The sequence below is a fragment of the Homo sapiens genome, chromosome 6 (genome assembly GCF_000001405.40).
Source record: "Homo sapiens chromosome 6, GRCh38.p14 Primary Assembly".
In the NCBI taxonomy this organism is placed as follows: Eukaryota; Metazoa; Chordata; class Mammalia; order Primates; family Hominidae; genus Homo; species Homo sapiens.
Window position 1 is genome coordinate 13,145,645 of NC_000006.12, and position 21,308 is coordinate 13,166,952.

At 42.0% G+C, this 21,308-nt stretch overlaps 1 protein-coding gene across 20 annotated transcripts in view; it reads left to right on the top strand.

The window, feature by feature from the left end:
- PHACTR1 (phosphatase and actin regulator 1) overlaps positions 1–21,308 on the top strand; it is a 571,071-nt gene that overhangs the window by 428,878 nt on the left and 120,885 nt on the right. For all 20 annotated transcript variants that reach the window (XM_005248934.4, NM_030948.6, XM_047418373.1 and 17 more), the window contains one exon: positions 14,560–14,640. In XM_005248934.4, the coding sequence (XP_005248991.1) occupies positions 14,560–14,640 (81 nt within the window). The remainder of the gene's footprint in view (positions 1–14,559; positions 14,641–21,308) is intronic.

A 21,308-nucleotide genomic window follows, 5' to 3' on the forward strand; every position in this document is an offset into this window, starting at 1 on the left:
ACGTCCTTGCAAGAAGAGACACCAGAGAGCTCTCTTTCTCTGAGCACACGAACCAAGGAAAGGCCTCGTGAACACACAGCAAGAAGGCAGCCATCCGCAAGCCAGGAAGTGAGCCCTCATCAGAAGCCAAAAGGGTCAAGATCTTTATCTTGGACCTCTGGTCTTTAAAACTGTGAGAAAACAAATTCCTGTTGTTTAAGCCGGTCTATAGTGTTTTGTCATGGCAGCCCTTGCAGACTAATATATCAAGCCAAAATTCTGCCTAGGAGAGAGCAAAATATTGTATCTTTAGTTCTTCTGTATATACACGAAAGCCTATCTGTACAAGTTTGTTCATTTGCAGATCTGCTTGACAAACTGTGGGCCATATCCCTAGCTTGTAAGGCTTAAAAAGGCAGTGATAATGTCATCCTTAAGTGTTCTCACAATGGAATCCCATGGCTTGGGTTCAAGTGCAGCTCTGCAACTTGGGCAGGTCATGTAACATCTTCTTTATCTGTCGTGTGGATAATAGTGCCAACCTCTCAGAGTTGTTGTAAGACTTACTACATAAAGTACTATGTGGAAAGCACAGAGTGCATGGTTCCTAATACATAATAAGTGTTACCATGGTGATAATGGGGAGAAATCAAGTCTTCACACAAAATGTCCCCTTCAGGCAAAATATTTGTCTGGATAGACATCTGACATAGCTATGCATAGTTATGATTTTTTAAATTTTGGTTCAAAATTATTAGCTAACTTTCTTCTAACCATAGATAATAAGAACAACCAAAAACCCTCAATCTAACACTGCTGTCTTTCTCTGTCTGATAAAAAGTCAAAGCAGTAAGAATGTAAAACCTGACTATCTTAACACTGTCTTCTGAAGATTTCATTGCAGCAGGGTTGATCCAACCATGAGTCAAAAAGCAAGCCGCCAAGCAGGCAAGCTTATTTCCATTAACTTGGCACCACAAAACACTTTGAACAAGGGTGCTATTATCTTTTAGGTAACAGGTGGTAGCTGGGATATTAAGCCGTTCTGGGCAGGATTTCAGATTTCCATTCTTCAGTGCTTTGGGCAATACACTTCTATCATAAAGCGATCAATAATAATTAGGTGTCTGGAATGAAATACAGTACACCATTATACTTCCTACATCTGGAAGGAGAAACCCACTTCACTAGCTCTGAATCAATGAATTTTCTTTTTATTCCTGGGGGGAGTGTTAAAGGCAGCAGAGAACAGGGTGGAAATGTGAATTGTGGATCTGAGCACAATCACAAAAAAATTAGATGTTATGATACACCCTCTTACAAGTAATACAAGCAAGCCCCAGAGCATTGAGCGTTTGTGTCTAACATCAACACTTTCATCACATGACATTCTCTTTCACTGCAGGGTCACCTGTTTCACATTTAATGAAAAAGTCTGTCCTAATAGGTGATATATATGTGAAAGGACAAAGTGAAGGTTGTACGTGGGGCTTAACATAGTTTATTTTTCAGATCTTAGTTTTATCAAGTCATGTTTTACCACGTTCCCATAATAAGGGACCAATAAATGGAGACGGAATTATTTCTCATAATTCTCAGAAAAGACAACTGATATTTATTCTGTTCGAATTTGATTTGAAGTTCCCTGTGCAGGTTGGTGCAGAGAGATAGAAAATGGAATCTGTAAGTTGTAACATAAATTTTCCTCGGTGCACTCCCAAGAATATGCAGCCTGGTCCTTGCAAAGCTATCTTCTCTCAGTTGCTTCTGACTTGTCACTTTAAACATGGTCTTCAAGGATAGTCAATCCTATTTTCCAAATTCAGAATCCTTACTTCTGTAAAATTACTCACCTCTAAAACTTTCTGCTGGCTTTCTTCCCCCAATACTTCAAGTTTCCGTCTTGCTCTCTGGAGACTTGGAAAGAGACTAAGCAAGTGTTTGTTAAGAGCAACCTTCTGCACTCTTGTCTGACCTATTTGAAGAAATGACCAGGAAAAGACTTATTGTGGCATTTATTGCCTTATAACCACCCTTTCTTTCATTAACAGGAGTTAGTTTACTGGCCAGCTGCATGATTTCATTATATGATGACTGAGTGTTTTATTCCCCCTCAGAAACTATTGCAATAGTACAAAGAAGCAGAGTTAGTAACAATGTCGTTTAATTTTTTTTATGTGGGAAATAAAATATAAATTGAGAAAGTGGGTTAAGCATCAATATACAGTTTAACAGTTGGTCATAAAGTGAACACCGTGTAACCACTGCCCAAGTCAAAAAAAGTAAATATTGCCAGCACCTGGAAGCCCCTTAATGTACCTTTCTAATTGTAATTCCCCTCCCCACCAGAGGTAGCCACTGTCCTGATATTTTATTGTAATCATAGCCTTCCTTTGCTTTGTAGTTCTAAAGCTTAGAGATACATTTCTCTAAACCATATATTGAGTTTTTCTGGTTTTTGAACTTTATATAAATGGAACCATAGTATATGTGTTCTTTTGCCTTGTTTTTTTTTTCACTCAGCATGGCTTGTAAGATTCATTTGTGTGTTTACTGGTTTTTTTTTTTTTTGAAAATTTGCAAACATAAGAGAAGTTGAGAGAATTGTATAATGATATAACTATATATGCTATAATTGCATTGCCATCACATGACTAAGATTTGCCTATATCAATTGCTTTTTCCTTCTGAAGTGTTTTAATGTAAATTACAGACGTCTGTAATCATACATCTCCAAAAAAAATAAGGAAAGTGTTCTGTGTAATCCAAGACCATTATATGTAGCAAAACTAATTATAATTCCCTAATATGATCTAATACCCAGTTCATATTCATATTTACCTAGCTGACCCCAAAATGCTTCAACAGCTGGTTTGTTCAAACTAAGATCCAATCAAAATTCATGAAGAATGCACTTTTGACAGCATGCTGAAAATGAGGCTGTTTCCTTCCTTTTTTTTCACATATACCTACTCAGTTAACAGAGCTCCCATAGGACCTGACTTCAGGTACTTATCCCATAGTCAAGAGGAAAACAAGTAGGCTCCTCTGTGTTAATGACATGGTCTACCTCATACTGTATCACTCCAGAGGAAAGTATGCTATCTGAATTATTTTCAGAAGACAAGCCTAATAGAAATGAAATCAAAACCAAAATTGTTATCTTGAGGAGATACTCTGTAGTACTGGGCTGCTTGAGCTTCTTCAGGAAGTCTATAGCTTTCTTTATTAGGGGAATGCACATGAGGGCTGGCCCAGCCAAGGGAGCTCATTGGAATGCAGGTCTCTACTGACTGAAGTTTCTACCAAGACCACAGGAGTGCAGGTAGGTAGACGGTTGGTCATTCTGATCTATTAGGATCTTCCAGGTCATCATGTCTTCCTAACTTGATATTGCTGGACTTAGGGTTTTCGGTTGTGTTTGTTTCAAATGTTTACCAGAACATTTGAATGTTTACCAGAACATTTGATGAAAGAGCACGGCCCCTGCTGAGCGAGCTGACCTCCCTGGTGCCTTTTTACAACAGAACACCTCATTTGCTTTCTGCAATCTGGTATTTAGATCAGCATCTCCCAGAGGCTTTTTCTCAGAGCACCAGCCCCATGGTACTCCATAAAAGGGTCATATTGTCCAACGAACTGGGGAGGAACGGTGAAACTGAGTTACACTGCTTCCTTTATTCCAAGTCTTCTCAGGGCCTTCAGTGTGCTAATGAACATGGTGATTCTCCAGCAGTACATGGCATTTCCCAAAATTATTTGTGCACAGAACCCTTTTCTCAGAGCATCTCTGTGGGTTACTATTCTGCAAAAACAGACTTTAGAAAGTGCTGATGTAGATGACTTGGATATAATTGCAAACCATAGTAAATAAAGTCTCATCTCGTACCTCATGGGCCATGAAGAATTTATCCAGGCTCACTGTGCAGGTTTACACAAGTAGAGTGGTTGGGCGTCTGTGTTGGAAATGAGGGATTTTGTTCACGTCGACTCTGCTAAAGTTCCTACTGTGATCATGGGGGAGGGGCTAACAGAGAGCAGAGATCAGGATCTATGCTTATTGTCTTGCAACAAGGACAGTGAGCCCTCAGATTTCAAGCTTGTCCAACCTGCAGCCCCTGGGCCACATGCAGCCCAAGACAGCTTTGAATGCAGTCCAACACAAATTCGTAAACTTTCTTAAAAAGTTACGAGATTTTTTTTTGCGATTTTTTTTTTTTTTAGCTCATCAACTATTGTTAGTGTTAGTGTATTTTATATGTGGCTCAAGACAATTCTTGTAATGTGACCCAGGGAAGACAAAGGATTGGACATCCCTGATTTAGATAGAAGTTCCATGTGGTTTGGATTTTTAGAGAGGAAAAAAGTTCTAAACTGACCTGCCTCTCTCTGCTTTTGAGGATCACTTGGCCTTAGTTGCCAAATATAAAAAGAATTTTCTGGCTGGGCACAGTGGCTCACACCTGTAATCCCAACAGTTTGGAAGGCCGAGGCAGGCAGATCATTTGAGCCCAGGAGTTCGAGACTAGCCTGGGCAACATGGCGAAACCCCACCTCTACAGAAAATACAAGTTAGCCTGGTGTGGTACCGCATGCCTGTCCCAGCAACTTGGGAGGCTGAGGTGGGAGGATCACTTAAGCCTGGCAGGTGGAGTTTCCAGTGAGCCAAGATTGCACCACTGCATTCCAGCCTTGGCAACAGAGTGAGACTCTGCCTCAGAAAATAATAATAATAATAATAAATTTTCTTTCATTTTGAATTAGTGATTCGATAAGCTTTCCTTGGATTATCAAGTAATTGAAAACCCTCTTACCTAGTAATAACTGGGTTACTGGCAAAATGTTTAGATATTCATGGTACCTGAGGTAGTGAAAGACCCAATATGTGGTACTCATACAAATTGCCTCTAGATTAATATGACTTTTTATTGAATATGTTTAGCATATCATGTTGTCTAAAATTAGACATTCAGAGTTGCATTCTTTTTTCTTTTTTACATTCCTTTCCATTTTCAACATATCATTAGATTGACAACCTTATTTATTTTCTCATTAACTTCCTTATGACATAAAAGATGAACTGATATTTGCCACCTGGTCTTTTGAAATGGAAGACCACTAGGTTTTTCTCATTGCTCCCCTTTCTCCTCTTTTATATATTGTTTATATAAACTTAATTTTGAAACATCTCTTTATCTTAAGAAAGCATTTTTCTCTAGAGATAGCATAAATGTGGATTGATTGTTTCATTTGGAATCCTTCTAGGCTATAGGTGTTGCATCACACTAATACGTGGGTTGATTATTATGTTTTGAGTCTTTCTAGGCTGCAGTTATTGTATCATATGAATAATTCTCATTACTCATGAAGCCAGATGGGAAGTGGAGGCATGTTCTAGGTTCTGGAGGCTCATTGCATTTGTCACTTGTAGATTTCTAGCCTAAAAAGTTCCTTTTACTGGAGTTGTAAGATTTACAAAGGATAAAAGCTATAGATTTGACTTGCAAGTAAACTACTCAGCAGTAAGCTACCACAAATTTCATCATTTCTCAATTGCTTTTCCCCCTTCAACTTTCTATTCCCTTCAGAATGTAATTTAAAGGCAGTTGAGCAGAGAATTCAACAGAGATAGATTGTCCTGGAGAGAAATCTAAATAAGTTTCTGCTCTGGTAATCTGAGCAGGACCAAATGACTTGTTCTAACATCAATATTGCTTTTTCTCCAACTTCTTCATCTTTACTTCATCAATACTTAAAAGTCATGGAACATAAGAGTTTCTTTCTTCCATCAGTACTGGGAGCACATAGAAAATACCCGGCCCAGAAATTGTACATCTAGCTATATATTCTAGAAAAATCCTTATACATGTTTACATGAGTGCCTGAACAAGTATGAACACAGTAGCGATGTTTGTATGCCACAATGTGGGAACAACTTAACTTGCCTTCAGCTGCAGGCTGGTTAAATAAATCATAGTACCTACATCCCATGAAATGGCATGCAGTACTCAAAAAGAATGAGGTGGGAAGAGCTATGGAACCATTTGATAAGTTAGAGGAAGAAAAAGACTTGTAGAACAACATGCATAGAATGATTTCATTTATGTTTTTAAAATGGTATTTGTATATGGTCTGGGAAGGTATGACTGTTGCAGGGGAGAGGCGGGGAAAAAGATGGAGGCAGTAGTGGATTTGATGAGTTAGCCTATGGAGGGAGAGAAAGTGAAAAGGACTGTTTTCTCTTGATTTCTTGAGTTTTTTACAGTAAAATATTTTCATGTATTATTTTTATAAATAAGTGTGTGTGTGTGTGTATGTGCAAGACATTTTTTTAAATGCCCTATTTTTAACAAATTCATCTAACCTAGGTATTCCACCAAGGAGAATGAGCCCATCCAAGATGCTTATTTTAAATTCATCAATGTCAGGCTGGGCGCAGTGGCTCACACCTATCATCCCAGCACTCTGGGAGGTAGAGGTGGGCGGATCATCTGAAGTCAGGAGTTTGAGACCAGCCTAGCCAACATGGTGAAACCATGTCTCTACTAAAAATACAAAAAATTAGCCAGGCGTGGTGGTGGGTGCCTGTAGTCCCAGCTACTTGGGAGGCTGAGGCAGGAGAAAGGCTTAAACCTGGGAGGTGGAGGTGGCAGTGTGTCAAGATCGAGCCATTGCACTCCAGCCTGGGCAACAGAGCAAGACTCCGTCTCAAAAAAAAAAAAATTCATCAATGTCAAAGAGGCATAGGATTCCCTGGCTCATCACAAATTCATATGGAAAGGGAGACTGGGAAAATACATTAAGGAGGTATCATGGGGAACTGGCTTTCGTAAATACAGCATAGACTGACATGGTGGCTCAGAAGAGGAGTTTAAAAAATGACTAAACTAGAACTACTGTCACTGTTAGTAGAGGTGGTCTTTGGTCCTTTATCTCCAGACTGCTCATTTCTAAAGTACTGGCTCACATACAGACAGATTTTAGAACAACAAAGTGGAACAGAAAGCTGTGAGAATTTCCCTAGTTTTCCTGTTTTTTCCTTCTTTACAAACTAGTGCAAAGATTGGTGTGTTTTAAACTGGAGATTTTATTATTCTTCAGGTATGGTGAGGCCAACAGATAAGAAGACAACTGCCATTGAAAAGATTGTTTTACTCCCAAATCCCAAGAGCAAGGGGCATGCCACCCAAGCAGGGCCACACAGGGGGAGGTATGGGAGGAAAATGTGGGCGTGAGCCTTGTTTGTGGTTTCCATGGGAAGGAACAGGCAAGACAGAATAAGCAGGCTTAGGATTGGCCAGCAGGAACACTTTCAGTGGGCTCTGTCACATAGGGGTGGTCTCTAGTCATCTAGTACCGGCCCTGGAGTGCTGAGGACAGGTGCACAGCGACTGGGAATGTACTAGCTCATTAAAGGAGGTGGTCAGGACTGTGGGCTCTGAATAGATTCATTTGGATGTGAAAGGCACATTCAAAGAATTCTATTCACTCTCTCTGGGAATCAGCCAGCCACAGGAGAGGCAGTCCATCCAGGGTCGGCAAGGCTCCGAGGTGTCAGAGCATCAGTAATACAGAATAAAAGTGCATGGTGAATACACAGTGGTAAAGATGCAAGAATAGCCATGCCTTTTGAGGTTTCATGCCTAGTTTTTATATTAAGGCAGAGTTTGAAGGCAAGTTTAGAGAGCCTTCCTTGGACATGCCAACCTTTAAATACAGTTTCTTGGGGCCATTTTTGGCTATGTTTGGCACTCTAATTGAGAAATCATTCTTCCAGTCATATTTCAGGCAAGTGAGATATGCGAAATCTCTTTTTTTACATGTCTGGATCTTGTCAGCTAACATTGTTGGTCTATAAAAGCAAAGCACAATTTGCTTTTTTGCTTTCTGTCTTCAGGCTTCTCATATGTTGGTTTTGAATTGTAGACTAGATGTTTCTAGAAGTAGTCTTTGCACCTTTGCTGGTTTATGTAGTTCTCTTTTGGTGTTTCAGTTGCCAGCATCACATTGTAAAGCCTCTGATGGTTTTCTGCATTGACTGCAGGCTGGAAATTTGGTTATTTTCTAAAGATCAGGGAGTTGCCTTGGCCACCTTCTAAGCCACATATTCATTTTGGGGAGAACTAGACTCCGGATTTTTCTGTTTTGGTTCTACTGATCAATTAGGTGTTAGAGGTTTAAAACATTGCTGAAAAGAAATTTACCTTTATATGCTATATTTCTAATTTTTCAATTTTAATGTTGGCCTCCTAGCTTTTTGTGACCTAAAGTTTATTAATTTCTTAGTCTGCTTAGATTTACTATTTTCATTTTTTTAACTAATGCTTTTGCTATTACAGGCATTTTTCTTTAACAACTTTATTGAGGTATAATTTACATACCATAAAATGAACCCATTGTAAGTATATTTCAGTAAATGATTTCAGTAAATTTAAAGGGTTGTGCAGCCATCACTGCAATCCAGTTTTATAACCAAATGGTTTACACTGAAGCATCCCCTCGTGTGGACACTTGGATTTTATACTGCCCTGTATTTTATTTTATTTTATTTTGTTTTTTGAGATGGAGTCTCACTCTGTTGCCCAGGCTGGAGTGTAGTGGTGCAATCTCAGCTCACAGCAACCTCCACCTCCTGGGTTCAAGTAATTTTCCTGCCTCACCCTCCTGAGTAAGCTGTGATTACAGGCCACCACGCCTGGCTAATTTTTGTATTTTTAGTAGAAATGGGGTTTCACCATGTTGGCTAGGCTGATCTTGAACTCCTGACCTCAAGTGAGGCCCACCTCAACCTCCCAAAGTGCTGAGATTATAAGCTTGAGCCATCGTGCCCAGCCTGCCGTGTATTTTAATAACTGTATAATATCAGAGTGATTTTTGGATTTGAGAATAGGTTTTCTTGTTTTAAAATAAGTCCTTCTGACTTTATTTTTTTATATAAAAATAATATCTGCTCTCATGCTTTTCCAGCACCTCTAGAAATACAGATGTTTGCTTAAAGGGATGGATTGCTTTGTTCTGTTCACTTTCATTTTCTACCTCCCAAAGACCAAATACTCCCAGGCAGTCAGCTCACCCTCACACCTCGGTTCTCATTTAGCTGATTTATCTTATCCCTGCCATCCGTCGGGCTGGTACATGACACATCACACCTTCTCCCTTTCTCGGTGGCTCACTCCTCTTCTTCTAAATTCTTTAACTTTTCATAATTCCTTCTTTTTTCTTCCTTTTTCATGTTTGTTCTACCCAAAGCCAAAATTATTGAGGAAGGAGGGTCAGACCATACCCAGTTTGTGAGAAGGGAAACCATTGTATTTTCTTTTTTCCCCATATCAACCCCATTTCCCGCTGTGTTTTACGGGTCAGTCATAAACCAGGTCCAATGGTTGTCCCTTTGCACCAGTCAACCCACAGTATTTTACTTCCTGGAGCAGTGTTGAGCTTGTCCTAGTGTAAAAGTTAAAGCAACTTCATCTTGGATGCTAATCCACCATGTTGGCTTCTGATTAACCCCAGGTCTTAGAAGGCCTCTGAGATTTCCAATTTATCTACTGTTCTTTGTGCAAGAGCATGTACTTACCGTAAGTGCTGCCCTTAGGTCAAAACAACCTTAATGTTACCATGCTTCGGTTGTCCTACACTTTCTTTTCAATCATGCAGACCCTTTCCATATAGTATATAAGCCCTGGGTCTGGGAGAATAATGGCCTGGGGATCCACTATCTCATCTCACTGCTGCCCAAGACCCAGCCCTGGCTTCTGTTTGTGAGTCCCTAGTACAAATTCAGAAGATTAATTTCTCAGCTTTTCTTTGTCCTCTCAGCTTCCTCAGACATGGGGGGTAAGTGTGCATACACCTGCCTGCTGCAGAACACTTTGACCCCACTGAAACTTAGCTCCGACTTTGGAAGAGCTGCTTAAAGTAAAACCAGAAGAGAGGTGTCATGCATACCTTGTTAAGAGAGATGGTAAGAAGAGAAGAGTTCCTGGCTGGGCACAGTGGCTCACGCCTGTAATCCTAGCACTTTGGGAGGCCAAGGCGGGCAGATCATGAGGTCAGGAGTTCGAGACCAGCCTGGCCAACATGGTGAAACCCCGTCTCTACTAAAAATACAAAAATTAGCCAGGAGTGGCAGCAGGCGCCTGTAATCCCAGCTACTGGAGAGGCTGAGGCAGGAGAATCACTTGAACCCAGGAGGCAGAGGTTGGAGTGAGCCATGACCATGCCTCTGCACTCCAGCCTGGGTGACAGAGCAGGACTCCCTCTCAAAAAAAAAAAACCTGAAGATTTCCTTACAGGGAAGAAAGAAGCTCCTGAGAGTAAAGTGGAATTATGTCACTTTACTATGACTTTCAACCCAAGTAAACTCAAATCAGATTGCCTTCTGTTTTTAGAGCCTTTTTGTTTTCCTATACATTATAATCATTCTCACAATGATGTTGCGTCATGGAGAAAAAGGGAAGAGCATTAAAATCTCTTTCTGCCCTTCCACTTACAGCTGTGGTACTCTGAGTAAGTTCATTTTGCTAGGCCTCAGGTACCTCCTTGTAAATTGGGAATGATTATACTTTACAGGATTGTGGTGAAGATTAAGTTAAGTAACAATTTTTCATGCTTCTCAAAATAATCTGTGCATTCGCTGTGGGCTCAGGGTTCTATACCAGGAATGGACAAAGCCATAGAAGAAATAAGCCATCTCTTTCCAGCATGTCACTTTAACTTGGAAATTGGTGGTGATGGAGCAGGAGTATTTTCTTATTTAAACTAAAACAGATATATTATGTGATTTCTACATTTACTTTTAAAGGAAACTTAGGACGTTAAAGAAATGTACTTTCTTTAATGCTTGGCATGGGCAACTTTGAGTCATACACTTGGAGCCCCTAGTATTCTCCCTGTGTCATAAGGAATGTTTCCATGGAAAAGTTTGAGAAGCACTGGTGCGTGAAAGCATCTGGCATAGTCTGTGCCACGTAGCACATTCTCATTTAACTTCCCATGTCTGTTTGATGAAGTATCCAACTGCATTTCCCTAGCACATGCTTGATAACGTCTCTTGGATGTGGCTAGCATCGAACTTGTCATGCATCCTCCAACCCCGATTCTCACCCCGTATTCCCTGCCTTAGTCATGGACAGCACCGTCCATTGAGTTATGCAGTCAAGAACCAAGGTATCCTCCTTGGCCTTTCTCTTTCCTGCATATCCCTGTCCAAGCTTTAACATCTAGTTGTGTCTACATTGCCACCTTCACACGTCTTGGGTGCATCTTTTGTCACTGTCAACAGCATCTTCATTTCAGCTACCATCATCCCCTGCCTAGATGCCTGTAATCACCTAGTCATTGGCCTCTTTCCAATCCATTCTCTATATTAAAGTGAATGTTCATCTTTCATATTCTCAAAGCTGTTCATTTCTTCCCATTGCTCTTAGAATAACATGGTCCATGAGGCCTTTCATGGCCCAGCCTCCTACCCCATCTCAAACATTCTTCATCTGATGCTGGCAGCTGCAGCCACACCAGCTTTCTTTCTGTTCCTTCCTGGAACCATGATTTCTCCATCTAGAGCAGGCTGCTCTATCTGGAGCATTTCCCTTGGCCCCTACCCAGCCCCCCTCAGCTCAAAGATCTCTTCTTCAGAAAAGCCTTTTCCAACACCCCAATCAGGGACAATATTTACCATATGCTCTGATAGGAACTTGTCCCTTTTCTTAAGGAGGACTGATCTTAACTTGTGATCACACATTAAGTAATATCATCATTTGATGATGGTCTGAATGTCACATGAGTCTGTAAACTCTATCACGGCGATGGCTGTCTCTTTGGTCACCATTATTTCCAGCCCCAGCCGGTGCCTTTGACCATGGACAGCAGATCCACAGTTGTTGAGTGACAGCTGATGTCCAGATGGCTGAGTGCTTAGCCTGAGAACATCCACATTTCTCTTAATAGCTCAGGATCTTGGACCTCCAAGTCCAGGGTTCTGCTCACCTCATTGCAGATCTTCCTTTAGCGCTGTAGACCAGGTCTCTCCACTTTAGTCTGTGGTTTACAACACCTAGGAAACCTCATTTTGTTTAAGAGAAATCCGTTTTATTTATGCGGTTAAGTACAGAAGGGGAAAGCATCTCTTTATATTCGGATGGCTTTTTGTCACCCAAACATCTGTAACAAACCCCGTACTTAAAGCCCCCCTGCTTCACCTTACCTGTCCAGTCTTCTTCCGCTGTGCTGCTGTGCTGCTTAGCAGATCTTTTCTTTTCTTTTCTTTTCTTTTTTTGAGACAGAGTCTCCGTGGGTTGCCCAGGCTGGAGTGCAGTGGCACAATCTCGCTCACTGCAACCTCTGCCTCCCGGGTTCAAGCAATCCTCCTGTCTCAGCCTCCCAAGTAGCTGGGACTACAAGCATGCGCCACCACGCCCAACTAATTTTTGTATTTTTAGTAGAGATGGGGTTTCACCATGTTGACCAGGCTGGTCTCAAACTCCTGACCTCAAATGATCCACACACCTCGGCCTCCCAAAGTGCTGGGATTATAGGTGTGAACCCCCGCGCCCGGCTGCTTAGCAGATCTTTTCAAATCAGGCAGAACTTTCTAACCTAACTGCATGCAATTCCCTGTCCCTTCTCCAGCCCTTCCCCAAGCTCTGAATAGAACATCTTTTTGCCTTCCTGCCACCATATAATGTCATCTGGTTTGACAAATAAAACTCTTGAACCCCCACACAAACACTGTTTCCATGTTTCCTGCACCCAGCTTTCCCCCTTGTCCTCCCATATAGCCCTCCTGCCGTCACTTCTGTGGGTACAGATTTATGTCTCTATTTTAGGATTAATATGTTCTCTGTCAGCTCTACGTGAGTGCATTCTAACCTAACATTTATTTTTCTCCCTCATATCACTTAATTCATTGTAATTTCAGAGAGGGAGCTAGAACGTAACATTTTTAAAATAGTAAGTTCCAAAATATATAATTAGTGATTCTCAGCCGAGTCATGCCTGAAAATAACCCAGAGAGCTTTTTTATCACAATGGAGATGTCCTGGTCCCACCCCGGACCTATGAAATTGGAATGGCTGGGCTGAGGCATCAGTGTTTTCCCAGTGTGGCAAAGTGACTTGACTAAGGTCACTCGACTCATGTCCCATAGCTTAGAGGGTGGCAGAGTTAGAACCACAATCCTTGTTGCTTGCTTTCTTTCTAGTTCTTCTTCATATTCTTTGGACTAAATTCCGTTGAGGGCAGTGTGTGTTTAATTAATCTGTATCTGAATTTGTCTGCATAAAGTAGTTTCCTTATTTTAAAGCTGATGATTTTCCCCTGAATATGTTTTCAAAGGCTGTGGAGGTTGAGTCAGTGTGTACCGGAGACTGCGCCAGCTGCTGGAATAGCCTTCTTTCCTCCCCACGTTCGCCTGTGTCCCTCCTTTGAGCCACAGGCCTGCCTCTTGGGCAGCCCCTCATTTCCTCACTCCTGGGTTGTTTCTACTTGATTTGCCCCCCAGCACACCCACTGTTACCTCTTCCTTCCTCCAGCCCCGCTGCCACCTTCCCAAGCACTTGACCTAGGTGCATGGTGGGGCCATGGTGGAGGTGCACTGGGTAACTGAATGGTTCCTTCTCCATTTGGCTGTTCCAGCTTGGAGCCTAAGAGAAGAAGGCAGTGGAGGGGCCGTGCCATGGAAGCCACCCCTACCTTTAGACAGTATCACCTCCGGACCTTGGGAGGCCACACCAGAGAACTTCTCAGAAGATATTTTCACACCATTTTTTAAAATAGTTGGAAAGCAACAGAATCCTCAGTGAGGCATGATCTCTATGAACTAGATCATTGAAACAGCAGTCCCTCCTGGGAGGAAGTACCATGTTCAGGAAAGTTCAGTAAGACATGAGGTTTGGCTGACATCCAAGGTGGCATTTCTAGCATTGAATCCCAGTTCCTTTACTCAATAGCGATGTGACTCTGACAAGTTGTTGAGCTTTTCTGTGCTACAGGTTCAACCATAAATTGGGGTTCAATTAAATAAGAACGCCTACCTTGGCTGGGCACAGTGGCTTACCCCTGTAATCCCAGCCCTTTGGGAGGCCAAGGCAAGTGGATCACGAGGTCAGGAGATCAAGACCATCCTGGCTCAAACCATGAAACCCCGTCTCTACTAAAAATACAAAAATTAGCTGTGTGTGGTGGCATGTGCCTGTAGTCCCAGCTACTCAAGAGGCTAAGGCAGGAGAATCGCTTGAACCTGGGAGGCAGGGGTTGCAGTGAGCTGAGATCGCGCCACTGTACTCCAGCCTGGGCAACAGAGTGAGACTCTGTCTCAGAAAAAAAAAAGAATGCCTACCCTGTCATAGGTGGTAATTTGAAGATTATTTGGAAGCTTAAATGACATCATCTGATTAAAAGGTTTATTATGATAGTATCAAAACATATTAACTGGTATGTCTCATTAGCTCACATTAGCAAAGCACGATTTACAGAAGCTTTCTCGTATGTTACATTGCCATATGTGTTAACATAGGATCCTTTAGAAGACAACTTTGTTACCTACTCACATCTGCCTCCCTGTTTGTCTTTTGTTTGTAGCCCTGGAAAGGAAAATATCTATGAGGCAAAGCAGAGAAGAGCTGATAAAGCGAGGAGTCCTGAAGGAAATCTATGATAAAGGTAAGGAGGATTGGTCTGTCATCCCCGGGTCAAAGAGTCATGCGTGGAATCTGCATGCATATTGCTTGGAGTTCCATTTCATTTTCTGCATCACCAGATATCAGGATTTGAACCATTAAAACTCCAGACAGTTCTAGAGAGAAAAGAGAACATAGCAGACAGTGCTGAAGCTGTCAGCATCATATGAGACGAAGGAAATAAAACTCCCTTTTCTGAGCATTGGAATCAAACCACAGGAGGCTAAGCAAAATGATGTGGCCCCGGGAATGATGCAGGCACTGGTTGTGAGTCTGTTGGCATGCAAATACACACGACCAGGGTGCAGTCACCTGTTTAGGCCCTTTCAGCAACTAAGTATTCCCAAGACAAGTGTGAGAAATCCATACTCATCTAGGATTTCCTTAACTTGTTTTTGTTTGTTTGTTTGTTTGCTTTTGGTGGTCCATCTTGCCACAATAGAATAAATTGAAGGAGATAAATTTGTGATATATGACTGTACATTTAAGATATTGGAAATGATAATATTATGGTGCTTCAAATGCTCTGTGAATGTGTCCACAGATATTTGCTGGTGAATACCACGTGTCCTTTGCTTATTGAATTATTGCCTTTGAATATGAACGTATGCAGTGAACTACATGGCATATGAAGTATCCTTCACTCCTCTTTTCTAAGAGCTTTATGGTATTTTAGTTTATTATGTATATATTTTGGAGACAGGTTCTTGCTCTGTTGCCCAGGCTGGAGTGCAGTGATGCAATCACGGCTCACTGCAGCCTTGACCTCCCAGCCTCAAGGGATCCTCTCGCCTCAGCCTCCTGAGTAGCTGAGACCACAGGTGTGTATCACCACACCTGGCCAATTTTTGTATTTTTGTGCAGACAGGGTCCCACTATGTTGCCCAGGCTGGTCTCAAACTCCTGGGCTCAACAATCTTCCCACCTCAGCCTCCCAAAGTGCTGGGATTACAGGCGTGAGCCACCGCGCCCGGCCTTTGCAATTTTCAATTGAACTTGCATGCGTGCACCTTCTCTTCTTGCTCCTCCTTCCTCTTCTTCCTCCTCCCTCCTCTCCCTCTTATCTCTTTCTCTCACTCTGAGGACCACACTCCCTCTGTTAGCGCTTTAAGTGAAATAACAGACTGTCACTTCCAATCTTGTTAAAATCATCAACAGTGATTTTCTATGTCAGGTCTTCTGATTGTTTCATGCAGGTGTTATCTGGTGGGCCAGATTATTAAATCACATAATATTCTACTTTAACAATCTGTCCTGATAGTCAAAGTGGTCCTGTAATCTGCCGACGCAGTCCATTTGCTGTGTTTTTGTAGGTCTTCTACATGCCTCGTGTGTTCTACTACAACGAGGCAGGTGGTACTTCTGGGTTCTGGCGCATCTTTCAGACTCCACTGTTTTGTGGGTTGGTTCTTATTCCTCTGGTGAATCTGACCTCCTTCATTCTTGTCATGGGCCTTCCCCGTGGTACTTTTGAAGTATTTTCTCTTAGCACAAATTACTAGCCTGAAATGCAAGAGAAAAGTGGCCTAGCTCTTGCCCTGCCCTGGTGGCAAGGCATAATGGAGGCAGAATGTGAAGGTGCATGATTCCAAACTACGTTCTGTCATTATCAGAACCTCCTGGGGTCAAGCAAGCCCTATGGTAAGCCAGCTTTATCCATCGATTTCTGTGTATGACCATACCAGCATACCACTTTTTTGATGGATTAAGCTCTCCAGGAAAAGAATCCATACTTTTCTTGCATTTCTTCAATGTCTTGCTGCCTGTATGATCCCCCAACCCTCCCTTGTTTTGTTGTTGTTGTTGTTGTTGTTTTGAGACAGAGCCTCCCTCTGTCGCCCAGGCTGGAGTGCAATGGCAGGATCTTAGCTCACTGCAACCTCCGCCTCCTGGGTTCCAGTGGATCTCCTGCCTCAGCCTCTTGAGTAGCTGGGACCACAGGTGCGCACCACCATGCACGGCTACTTTTGTTTTTTTGTTTGTTTGTTTGTTTGTTTGTTTTTTAAGTAGAGATGGGGTTTCACCACATTGGCCAGGCTGGTCTCAAACTCCTGACCTCAGGTGATCCACCCGTCTCCGCCTCCCAAAGTGCTGGGATTACAGGTGTGAGCCACCGCGCCCGGCCCCTCCCTTGTTCTAACTTTAAATCTCCATGCTTCATCATAAGCTCCTTTCCCCATATTCACCCCCCAGGAGAGATGGAAAATGTTTAACTAAAGGTATAATATTATATAATAAGCACCCGAGTGCTTAAATAAATATTATTGTTACAGCCAAAACTTGTTCAGATCCACTTAAACAATCCCTCTTCTCCCTCAGGAATATTCTGAAGTAGAGAATACATGTACAGTAGCATTTATTATTTCCGTTACATCTAATAACTGGGTTAAGATAAGAATTGCCTAAGTGGCTTCCTGACTTATAAAAAGAAGTCACAAACTGTTGGAGCAAAAGCCTCATTTGATAGGGAAAGAAACAGGATCCCTGAGACTGGAGGGTCCCTTAGGCTGCTCTCAAGGAACTCCAGACTGTTGGTGCCCCAAGTCCTCACCAACAGTTAGGAGTTCCCTGAGAGCAGGCGCTGTGCCTCTGTCACACTTGCTTCTTTCTCCATCAGCACACATGGAGCTGACACAGGACCTGCACTCAGTAAGTGGCTGCGGGCCGGGCTCGGTGTCTCACGCCTGTAATCCCAGCACTTTGGGAGGCCAAGGCGGTGGATCGCTTGAGGTCAGGAGTTCGAGACCAGCCTGGCCAACATGGTGAAACCCTGTCTCTACTAAAAGTACAAAAATTTGTCGGGTGTGGTGGCATGCGCCTGTAGCCCCAGCTACTTGGGAGGCTGAGGCAGGAGAATCACTTGAACCCAGGAGGTGGAGGTTGCAGTGAGCCAAGATTGCACACTGTACTCTGGCCTGGGCAACAGAGCAAGATTCTGTCTCAAAAAAGGAAATAAATAAGTAAATCTGTACATACATACATAAATAAGTGATTGCAGAGGGAAGGACCAGTCTAGTCCCCACATGTCACTTGTCACCACAACTTCCTGTTTTACTTTGATCCTTGCACTTATCACTGTCTGTTCTTTCTGTTGTTTGTTGACTGACTTTGCTCACTAGCACATAAACTGTAGGAGAGCAGGGGCCTCAGAGGCTGCGATTCCCCAAGCCCCAAATCATGTCTGATATAGTTTAGATGCTCAAAAATGTTTACTGTTTGGATGTTGGGAAGAGGAGAAGAAGAGACAGGCTAAAATGAAAACTTCGTTGCACATAGTAGTGTATAGGTTTGTGTTTTCTATGGGATTTTCTGATAAAAGCACTCATTTTGTATCTCTGTGGATATTAATCTCATTGCCTCATATTATAGTATATCTACAGTTAGGAGCATGAGCCCTGGAATCAGTTTCAATTCTAGTTCCACTGTTGACTAGCTGTGCAACTTTAGTCAAGTTGCTTGACTTCTCTGTGCTTCTCTTGCTTTATCTGAAAGTATGGGTGATGTTGTGATGAGGATTACAGGAGATAGCACATATGAAATAGAACAGTGACTTTTTTATAACAGTGACTTTATAGCAATCTATAAATTCTCAATAAGGGTTAACATGCTGTGATTGTTGGTAGTCTCATCATCATCATCATTGTCCTTTATATTTTCTTCAAACCTTTTATGTGCCTCACCCTAGGTGACCCTATCAACAGGCCCAAGAATTCAGAAGAGTGGACATCACTGTCCCCTTTTGTCTGAGGATTTAAAAAGTACAAAGATCTGTGACCTCCTCAGAATGGCCTTCGTGTCAGTGTCCACCGAGAACCCGGTCTTCTGTATCCGAATTCGGTTCCACCTGGCTTTCCTCTTAGCCTCTAAGCAAGTCATTTTCCTGTCATTTGTTCTTCCCTTTCTATAATATCATTCTTTTTCCTGTATCTGAGATTCGGGGGGTAAAGCAAATAGAATTTTATTGCCGCAACCTGATGAACGGCAAATGGCAAAGAGACTTTCTTTTTTTAAGTTGTTCATTTCAAGGATAAATCTCATAGATTCGGAGCAATCATTCCATATTGCCTGGCTGGTCATTCCTCATTTTGCACCATCTCCTTGTGTTAGCGCACATGACTCTAGCTAGTTACCGGCAGCAAAATCGTTTCCACCAGCGATGCATGGACCCTGACAGCTGCCGCATTGATTTGTAATGACTGTGTCAGCCTGTCCACCTGCATGCAGCCTCCAGGCCCCACCTCTGTTTGTGCCGCAGTTATGCTGTTTGTGTGCACGATACTACTAATGTGGTGGAAGATAATTTGTCTTTAGTAGGTAGGATTTTCCCTTCCAGTGCTTTTTACATTATTGATTTTGCCTGATAATGCCCCACTTGTTCATAGAAACCATGAAAATAAACTAGTGATTTGAGAGTCGTAATTATTTGGGCAGAGTACACACAAAATTAATGAGGTTTTATTACTCTGACAGTTCTCAAAATTCTTTCCATTTTCCTTCATGGGTTAAAATCCCAAACTGGTCAATGAATTTAATTCAGGCAAAATGAGAGCTTGGGTCTAAGAAAAGTAATCTCAAATGTCGACTGAACCGGCACAGAGATTCCTCATTTAACAGAGTGTGTTAGACAAGAAGAGCATAGTTATTCAACAGCTTTTTTTTTTATTATTGGCTTCCATATTGAATCACATAATTTTACAATCCAGAGATTTAGATAAAAGTTTTAAAATCAGAGGAAATAGTTTGATCTCTAGATATATTGAGGCCAGGTAAGAATGCAGCACACTTTGAAAACCACATAAAAGGAAATTTTAAATTATGTTAGTTGTGATGGTAGCATGGACAGAAAATTATAGGTTCTTTTTTTCTCATTTTCCTGATTTTCTACAATATGATTGTTTTATAAAGAACACAACTTAAATGTTAAGGTGAACTGCCAACACTATAAATAGTAAAAATGTTAAACCAATTAATGGTGTAAAATAATCTATAGTTCGACAGTTTATTTTTATTTATTCCTCAATCTTATGACCTATTTGCTTAAATTTGAACTTAATTTAAACAAACTAAACAAAGTTTAATTAAACAAAGTTCTCCTTGGCTCCCGGGCTATGTATGTATTTATTCATTCAACAAATTGGCACCAGGTGCTCCCTCCGTGCCAAGGAGTTGCCTCGGTATGGAGCTACAGTGATAACCACAATTGCAAAATCTTACCATTTCAGAGTTTACCTTCTACTCAGAAATAGGAAATAATACATATAGTATTTGTTGCCAAGGAGTGATGAGCGCTCTGAAGAAAAATGAAGCAGCAGGATAAGGAAATAAAGTCAAGCGAAGGGGGAGGGGGTTGTGATTTTAGGTCAATGCAATCATGGAGGACCTCTTGTGGGAGGTGATATTTTCACAGAGACCTAAACGAAGTGACCGAGTGGCTCAAACAGGGGCATGGGCACCCAGATTCTGAAACCTGGTCCTACTACAACTTTAAGGCAACTTGTAACTTCATTCATGAGCCCTTAAGTTCTTCAGATTGCCCCGGGATGTTTCTTTTCAATAAAGGCCTCTCTGTGGCATTTGCTTCTCTCTCATTACCCTGTAAATCAGAGCCTGTCACTGCCTGCTCAAAGCCTGCAGTGGCTCCACATTTCACTCAGAAATTCCAGGTTTCTACAACAGCGTAAAGCCCTGCATGGTCTGCCCTCCAACCCCTAACTTTCGTTTTCACTCTCTTCATCCCTCCTACAAACTCCCTTTCCCTGGTGCCACTTCAGCCCTGCTTCCTGGCCCTCGAGGTTTGCGTTGGCTGCGCCTTCTTCCAGAAGCCTCTTCCCCCAGATATCCAGATGGCTGGCTCCTCTTTCCAGCCTTGGCTGAGGTGTCACCTTCCCAGTGAAGCTTACTCTGCGACCACCAAGTTTAAAATTGCTGCCGCCTTCTCTAAGTTCTTAGACCCCTTACCCTCCTTCTTCCTTTTTTCTTCTATCTCTTATCACCTTCCACCTTCAGACGCCTGTAAATTATGTATTTATCATGTTAATTTTTTCTTGCCTATCTCTCCTCACTTCATAAGCTCCACCAAGCAGGGCAGGGGTCTTCGTCTGATTTGTTCCCTGTTGTAGCCCAAGTGTCTATAGCAGTGCCTGGGACAAAATTGATGTTCAGCAAATGCGAATAGAAAGCAATGAATGCAGGCATGAGGTAATTTCTGCATGTTCACATGACTTGGTTTATTCACTGCACCGGCGAAATCCAGAATACTAAGAACACTGATCCCCCTTATTTATTCAGTTTTATGGTCCATAAAACTTTATTGCCAGTTATTTAAATAGGTAATATTATATTATGTATATATTTGTATACATGGATGCCAAATGCCCTACTTTCAGATAGTGTCTTTAAGTGGTATGGGAAAAATATAGCAATGTCAGTCAATAGTATAGTCATCCCGAGGTATACGCAAGGGATTGGTTCCAGAACCACCTCCCATACCAAATTTCGCACATCCTCCAGTCCCATAGTCAGCCCTGTGAAACCCATGTATACAGAACATCAGCCCTCCAAACACAGGTTTTTCAATCTGTGTTGGGTTGAAAATAATTCACATATGAATGGACCTATGCAGCTCAAACCTGTGTCATTCAAGGAGCAACT